Genomic DNA, 9640 nt, shown 5'->3' on the forward strand with positions numbered 1-9640 from the left:
GCTAATTTTTTGTATTTTTAGTAGAGACGGGGTTTCACCTTGTTAGCCAGGATGGTCTCGATCTCCTGACCTCATGATCCACCCGCCTCGGCCTCCCAAAGTGCTGGGATTACAGGCGTGAGCCACCGCGCCCGGCCAGAAAATATTTTTAAAAATACAGGATATGGATGTAAAGGTCTCCAGAGAAATAGATATCATTAAAAAAAAAATCACAACTTCTGGAAATGAAAGACACACTAAAGAAATACAAAATGCACTGGGAAGTTTCAACAATAGAATAGAACAAGTAGAAGAAAGAACTTTAGAACTCAAAGATAAGGCTCTTGAATTAACCCACTCTGACAAAGACAAAGAAAAAAAGAATAAAATAAATAAACAAAGCCTCCAAGAATTTCAGTATTATGTGAAATGATCAAATGACCAAACTTAAGAATAACTGATGTTCCTGAAGAAGAAGAGAAAAATAAAAGTTCGGAAAATTTATTTGAGGGTATAATTGAGAAAAATTTCCCTGGTATAGGTAGAGATCTGGACATCCAAATATAAGAAGCTGAAAGAACACCTGGGAAATTCATCACCAAAAGATCATCACCTAGGCACACAGTCATCAGGTTATCTAAAGTCAAGATGAAGGAAAGAATCTTAAGAGCTGTGAGATAATAGCATCAGGTAACCTATGGGGGAAAACCTGTAAGATTAACAGCAGATTTATCAGGACAAACCCTGCAAGCAAGAAGGGATTGGGTTCCTATCTTTAGCCTCCTGGATTAAAACAATTATCAGCCAAGAATTTTGTGTCTGGTGAAACTATGCTTCATAAATGAAGGAGAGAGAAAGTATTTTTCAGACAATCAAATGTGGAGATAATTTGTCACTACCAAGCCAGCACTACAAGAAATGCTAAAAGGAGTTCCAGATCTTGAAACAAAACCTCAAATTACACCAAAATATAACTTCCTTAAAGCATAAATGTCACAGGGCCTATAAAACAATAACACAATGAAAAAAAAAGATATTCCAGCAAGAACCAGCATGATGAATAGAACGGTACCTGACATCTCAATACTAATGTTGAATGTAAATGGCCTAAATGTTCCACTTAAAAGATACAGAATGGCAGAATGGATACAAATCAACCAACCCAGTATAATATCTGCTGTCTTCAAGAGACTCATCTGACATATAAGGATGCACATAAACTTAAGATGAAGGGGTAGAAAAAGATATTCCATGCAAATGGAAACCAAAAGCGACAAGAGTAGCTATTCTTATATCAGACAAAACAGACTTTAAAGCAACAACAGTTAAAAAAGACAAAGAGCAACATTATATAATGATAAAAGGATTAGTCCAACAGAAAAATATCGCAATCCTAAATGCATATGCACCTAAAACTGGAGCTGCCAAATTTACAAAACAATTACTACTAGACTTAAGAAATGAGATAGATAGCAACACAATAATACTGGGTGACTTCAATACTCCACTAACAGCACTAGACAGGTCTCGAAGGCAGAAAGTCAACAAAGAAACAATGGACTTAAACCATACCTTAGAACAAATGGACTGATTTACAGAACATTCTACCCAACAACTGCAGGATATACATTCTTTTCATCAGTGCATGGAACATTCTCCAAAATAGATCGTATAATTGGCCACAAAATATGTCTCAATAAATTTAAGAAAATAAAAATTATAAAAAATTTAAGAAAATAAAAATAAAAATAAGAGTACTTAATAAAAAATATTAAGTACTCTCTCAGACCACAATGGAATGAAATTGGAAATTAACTCCAAAAAGAACGCTGAAAACTATAGAAATACATGGAAATTAAATAATCTGCTCCTGAATGCTTTTTGGCTCCACAAGGACATCACAATGGAAATTTAAAAATTCTTTGAACTGAATACCAATAGTGACACAACCTATCAAAACTTCTGGGATACTGCAAAAGCAATGCTAAAAGGAAAGTTAAGCATTTAATGCCTACATCAAAAAGTCTGAAAGAGCATAGACAGTCCGAGATCACACCCCATGGAACTAGAGAAACAAGGACAAACCAAATCCAAACCCAGCAGAAGAAAAGAAATAACCAAGATCAGATCAGAACTAAATAAAATTGAAACAAAAAAAACACAAAAGATAAATAAAACAAAAATTTGGTTTTTTGTAAAGATAAACAAAATTTGTATACTTTTAGTGAGATTAACCAAGAAAAGAAGAGAGAAGATCCAAATAAGCTCAATTAAAAATGGAACAGGATATACTAATATTACAACCAATACCACAGAAATACAAAACATCATTTAAGGCTACTATGAACACCTTTATCTACACAGACTGGAAAACCTAGAGAAGAAGGATAAATTTTTGGAAATACCCAACCATCGTAGATTAAACCAAGAAGAAACAGCAACTTTGAACAGACCAGTAACAAGTAGCAAGATTGAAACAGTAATAATAAAATTGCCAACAAAAAAAGTCCAGGACCGGATGGATTCATAGCTGAATTCTATCAGATGTTCAAAGAAGAAATGGTACCAATCCTACTCAAACTATTCCAAAAGATAAAGAAAGAGGGAATCCTTCTTGAATCATTCTGTGAAGCCAGTATTACTCTAATACCTAAACCAGGAAAGAACATAACAAGGGAAAGAAAACTATAGACCAATATCCCTGATGAACAGAGATGCAAAAATCCTCAACAAATTACTAGCTACCAAATCCAACAGCATTTCAAAAAGATAATCCACCATGATGAGGTAGATTTCATACCAGGGATGCAGGGTTGTTTTAACATACACAAGTCAATAAACGTGATACACCACATAAAGAGAAGTAAAATCAAACATCATGTGATGATCTCAATTGATACAGAAAAAGGATTTGACAAATTCCAGCATTGCTTTATGATTAAATGCCTCAGCAAAACTGGCATAGAAGGTAATAAAAGCCATCTATGACAAACCCACAGCCAACATTACACTAAATGAGGAAAAGTGAAAAGCATTTTCCTTGAGATCTGAAACAAGACAACGATGCCAGCTTTCACTACTTCTATTCAACATAGTACTGGAAGTCCTAGCCAGAGCAATCAGACAAGAGAAAGAAACATCCAAATCAGTAAAGAGGAAGTCAAACTGTCCCTATTTGCCAATGATATGATGTATACTTTGAAAACCCTAAAGACTCATCCAAAAAGCTCCTAGATCTGATCAATGAGTTCTGTAAAGTTTCAGGATACAAAATCAATGTACATGAATCAGTAGCACTGCTATACACCAACAGCCACTAAGCGGAGAATCAAATCAAAAGCTCAACCCCTTATACAACAGCTGCAAGAAACAAAAAGATAACAACAACAACAACAACAAAGAACCACTTAGAAATATAACTAACCAAGGAGGTAAAAGGCCTCTACAAGGAAAACTACAAAACACTGCTGAAAGAAATTATAGATAATACAAACAAATGGAAACACATCCCATGCTCATTGATGGGCAGAATAAATACTGTGAAAATGACCATACTGCCGAAAGCAATCTATAAGTTCAATGCAATTCCCATCAAAATACCATCATCATTCTTCACAGAACTAGAAAAAACAATTCTAAAATTTGTATGAAGCAAAAAAATAGCCCATGTAGCCAAAACAGTACTAGGCAAAAAGAACAAATATGGAGGCATCACATTACCTGACTTCAAACTATACTACAAGGCTATAGTTACCAAAACAGCATGGTACTGGTATAAAAACAGGCATATAGACCTATGGAACAGAATAGAGAACCCAGAAATAAAGCCAAATACTTACAGCCAACTGATCTTTGACAAAGGAAACAAAAACATAAAGTGGGGAAAGGACACCCTATTCAACAAATGGTGCTGGAATAATTGGCAAGCCACATGTAGAATAAAACTGGATCCTCATCTCTCACTCTATATAAAAATCAACTCAAGATGGATCAAACACTTAAATCTAAGACCTAAAACCATAAAAATTCTAGAAGAAAACATCACAAAAGCTCTTCCAGATATTGGCTTAGGCAAAGACTTCATGATCAAGAACCCAAAAAGAAATGCAACAAAAACAAACATAAATAGATAGGACTTCATTAAGGTAAAAGGCTTCCTCATAGCAAAAGAAATAATCAACAGAGTAAACAGACAACCCACAGAATGGGAGAAAATCTTCACAATCTATACATCTGACAAAGGACTAATATGCAGAATCTACAAGCAACTCAAACAAATCAGCAAGAAAAAAACTAAATAATCCCATTAAAAAGTGGGCTAAGGACATAAGTAGACAATTCTCTAAAGAAGATATACAACTGAGCAACAAACAGATGAAAAAATGCTCAACATCACTAATTATCATGGAAATGCAAATCAAAACCACAATGCAATACCACCTTACTCCTGCAACATTGACCATAATTAAAAAATCAAAAAATAATAGATGTTGGTGTGGATATGGTGAAAAGGGAACACTTTTACACTGTTGGTGGGAATATAAACTAGTACAACCACTATAGAAAACAGTATGGGGATTCATTAAGGAGCTCTAAGTAGAATTACCATTCAATCCAGCAATCCCACTACTAGGAATCTACTCAGAGGAAAAGAAGTTATTATATGAAAAAGACACTTGCACATGCATGTTTAGCACCAAAATTCACAACTGCAAAGACATGGAACCAACCTAAGTGTCCATCAACCAATGAGTTGATGGCATTTACAGCAACCTGGATGGCAGGTTGAAATTCACAGCAACCTGGATGCAGTTGGAAACCATTATTCTAAGTGAAGTAACTCAGGAAGGTAAAACCAAATATTATATGTTCTCACTTATAAGTGAGAGCTAAGCTATGAGGACAAAAGGCATAAGAATGATATAATGAACTCTGAGGACTTGCAGGGGAAGGGTGGGAAGAGGGTGAGGGATAAAAAACTACATATCGGGTACAGTGTACACTGCTTGGGTGATGGGTGCACCAAAATCTCAGAAATCACACCTAAAGAACTTATCCATATAAACAAACACCACTTGTTTCCCAAAAATTATTGAAATGATAATTTTAAAAAACAAAGATAATAATCAGTCACATCGTGAGGCTTTTTTCCTCAAAATGTTATTTTTTGATATAAAATAATGTATAAAATTTATTAGTTAGACTAACCTAAGTGTCCATGAAAAATAGTATTTTCATTATATATTATTTGAGCAAAGACACAAATATTGTACTCTTAGTAATACACTTGTTTTTCATAAGGATATAGATAACAATTGTAAAACTACTTGTGTATTTAGGATTTAGCAAAGAAGTAAGTATACCATGTGTAAGGAGAGTCAAATACCTCATTGCCAGAAGAATTTACCAGTAAGGTAAGGGAGAAAGTTAGAATGGACATATGTTTTTGGATTAGAATTGGATGTTATCAGTATGAACATATATTTTTAAAAGTGCAGATAGATATAGAAGTGCAGATAGATATAGATAGATATATAAATTGTATGTAAGAATGGGTGCATGCACGTGCATACGCACATATGCACTGAGGTAAACACAAATCACTTCACTATTCTTGATAACAGTGAATAATATGAATTTGAACATGAGAACCTCATTCAAATATCTCAATCTAAATTCAAATTGAGATATATTTATTCTGTAAAATACTATTACTCTTAGAAGATACCAATATCGAGAATAGAAAGCTAAGACTGAAGAACTGCTCATACTCGCCAAAGCCAAGGAGACATGACAACTAAATGCAGTTTGGGAATTCGGGACTGGGTCTTGGACCAGATAAAGAACACTAGTTGGAAAACTGGAGAAATTGAATAAGGACTGTAGATTGGTTAATAGTAATATATCAATATTAATTTCCTGGCTTTGATGGTTTTATTATGATTATATAAGATGTTAACATATGAAGAAGATGGGTGAAGGAATTCTTTATACCATTTTTGGAGGTGTTTTGTAGGTCTGGAAATATTTCAAAATTAAAAGTTAAAAAAAGTTTTAACGTGGAGCAAGGAAATTTTATTTTGATGTCATGCAAATTCTCTTCTAAAAATTATTCCTATATCTGCATTTAATTGTCATTTTATCTTTTTTAATGACTTTCCTTGCTGTAGCATTAATGCCTCTATAAGTGGCAAAAGGAATAAAATCTCACCATTTCTTCTTCCAATAATTTCCTTCTCTCCTTTTCAAATTGACTTATGTTATTCTCTCACTAAACCTGTTAAGAGAGAAATTCTTACTAATTTTTCTAAAATTTTATGTATTACACAGCATTTTGTAAACTTCTAACACCATTGAAATACTATAATAATGTGATTCTGGACACGGTGGTTAAATAATTACTACTATCTTGATAGCTACTCAGAATAATGTAGTTAAAGCATTATTCTAAATTCTATAATTAAATAATTAGACTTGTCTTGCTTGCATGCTACTTTTCTTATTATCTCTGTTTTTCTTTACTTTTTCTTCCTGAGGCAATTCTGACATATCTCTGGAATGTGCTGGGGTTTTATTTTTGTTTGTTTTGGTTTTTTGGTTTTTGGATATTTTTACTGTTTCCTAGAGTGGGATCATTTCATTTTTCAAGTGATTTTCTTTTCTTCTTTTTTCTTTAGTTTTTCTTTTCCCTTTTCTTTTTTAATTTAATATACATAATGCCAAATTATCATCAGCCTTTTTTAAATGTACAGTTCAGTAATGTTAAGTGTATTCACATTGTTAAACATGTTCTGGAGATTGGTTCATTTCCTTTTTTATTTTTATTCATGTACCCCCCAAAAATACAAAGCAAAGATGATTTGTTTTATTCTGGAGAATCATTAAGGAGAGTGTATTTCTCTTTTTATAAACCACTTTTTCAGGCATTTCAAATTAGCTACATGAGATATGAATAAAAGTATTAGAAGTAATTTTGAACTAAAATGATTAGAAACAAAAACCAAGCTTGGAGAAGCAGAGAGCTAAAACACAGTTACGTGCCTCTCGTATAGAACTTGTCTATCCAGTGAACTCAACTGTCCAGACTACAACTTATGAGATAAGTATGTAAATAGAAGGTCTCTAAGGGAACAAAATTAATGTTACACAATCCATGTCTTAAAGTTTGTATGTCTCAGGTACAGAAGCATCTCATGCCTTCATTTAAGAGTTACTCCTTACTTTAAGGGCAAAATTACTACAAGCTACAAATAGAAAATACGAGATAAAAAAGAGGGACTCTTGTAGGCAATATTGGCTCTATATTGCAAAAAGGGTACATGTGGAAAGAAGCAGAAAAAAACATGAAAAGCAGACACAATAATATTATAAATAAACAGAAAAAAATGGGTGTATTGTTAAGGAATAAAAGTGTCCTTCACATCTCAAAATTCCAAGGGGCTATCATAAAGTTAAAAAACATTATGACAACTGACACTTATAACAATATTGTCAGTATATTCTACTTTTAAATATAAGGGGTGAAAATAAATTCTCACTAAGTGATTTCTATGTTTTGGTATTGAGAGGTTTAACTTATATGATACATGCTGCATTTTAGAAGCCTTTCCATCTAAAAAATACAGTGGCTTTTGCTTTGTATTTCCTCTTTTGTTTAAATTTTGGGCACTTCACACCAATGTGGGAGACAGACTTATGCAAGGAGTTTGTACCATAATCATTATTTTTCCAAAACCAAATGTCACACAACTAGTTATTCTAGTTTTCCAATTAAAAAAAATCACAACGCCAGTAATGAGAATCCTATTATTTCAAAGTGTATTTTTTCCCCAAATGCTGACATTCAGTTAAAATTTTACTAGACATGTAGCATTGGAACAAGATGACAAAGGTAAACACTAAAGAAAAGTCTGGAGAGATCAGATGAAAAATGCTTCAAGACATTCACTGGGAAATGACCAAGGTCATTTATGGAAAATGTTGTCTCAAGTAGATGCCATTGGACAAATAACAAAGGCTTAAAAGGAAAATACCAATAAAACTTGAGACTATGAACTATGCGAGGTCAAGAATCCTGGCTCTCTTCAGCACTATATTGCCAATGCCTGTCATATGGAGCAAAGAAGGTTTAAGGCAACGTTAGGACCTGGCCTGGATGCTTTCCACACACTATTACTCTTCTCATTTTCTTAGTGTTCCAGTGAGCTAAGAATATATGACACAGGAAGCAAGCACATTTCCTTTCTGGATTTTAAGTAATTTACTGTAACGGATCCTATAGATCTAAAATGGCATTTTTAAAAATTAGCTCACAAAACCTCCCCAGAGTTTTTGTAATGAAAGCTTTATCAGACATTTTAATGAGCACACCAGCACCATACTAACTGCTGTGTCCACAGAGCATTATTTTTGTCCTAGCCTGCCCTATGTCTGCTTTGAATACATTCAGTGAAAGAAATTTCACAACCTGGGTCCTCTGTATTCAATGTTGCAAGCTGAAACATGAATAACTGGCATTTTTCATTCTTGTCTTTATCAAAATATGTTGAGTGTCTACTATTACCAGTGACTCTATTAAACACAGGAAATACACTGGAGAAGAAAACACAGAATCTTGTCTTACAAATCTTATACTTTGATATGGAAGATACAGGCCCCCAAAAAGCAAGAAAATTAACAAATAAGAAAAATTATAAGAAGTACTGGAGGAAATACATGGGGCTGAAATAAGAACAACAAAAGGAGGTAAAATGGAATACAACTTAGCCAAGAGAGGCTTTCCTGAAGAGGTGACATTTAAGCTAAAATTTGAAGAATGATGCAAAGCTCAGATTGAAAAAACATTGGTGAAGACCACCACCTGAAGCAGAAAGGACCTTGCCATGTTAAGGAATTGCAACAAGACCAGGACTGCTGAAACCTAGTGAAGAGACCATAGTCGAGAGTGGGGTTTTTCTCTTAAAAGCTTTGAGAAGCCATGGAAGGCGGTTCGAGAAGGGATTTACATACCAAATTTATAGGACCTACTTATATAGGATGTATTTTCTTAGCTCCTAAACTAAATTAAATAAATACTGCTAATTTGAATTTGATTTTCTCTAATATTTTCCATAAAGTATTTGAAAAAAAAAGGTTTCACTAACCATTATTGCTTGAATTTGTTTATGCTAAAGTCAAACTCAATTTTAATGGCTGCCTTCCAGGGACCACTCTTTACTGAACTCATAAAACTCACATCACAACCACTTACATCCTAGCAGAGAGCCCTGCTTTCCCTCTATTCTCTTCATAAGCACGGAGACATACCGTTCCCACTCTAATATAACAAAGTACATTAACAATCTATACCAAGGGGCTCCATTTGTTGTGTTGGCAGTTTTTGTTCTTCCTTTCACCTCCTTAATGAGGTCCAGTTCCACTCACTGATGTCCTATAGCAGTCAGACAAACCAACATCTCACGTTCTGCCAGGAATCAAAAATAACATTAATTGCTTTCTATACTGTGTATCTATATTTAATGATAATGGATAATATCTCCAATAACTTTTTCTCAAAATTTGTTTCTCCATTTCCCCTTCCTTTGGAAAAATGCCTTCCTGAGAGTCTGTCTACATAGCTTGTTTTAAGAATGTAAATGCTGAGTCACCTTGCAAGTCTTAT

The sequence above is a fragment of the Homo sapiens genome, chromosome 5 (assembly GCF_000001405.40).
Source record: "Homo sapiens chromosome 5, GRCh38.p14 Primary Assembly".
Classification (NCBI taxonomy): Eukaryota; Metazoa; Chordata; class Mammalia; order Primates; family Hominidae; genus Homo; species Homo sapiens.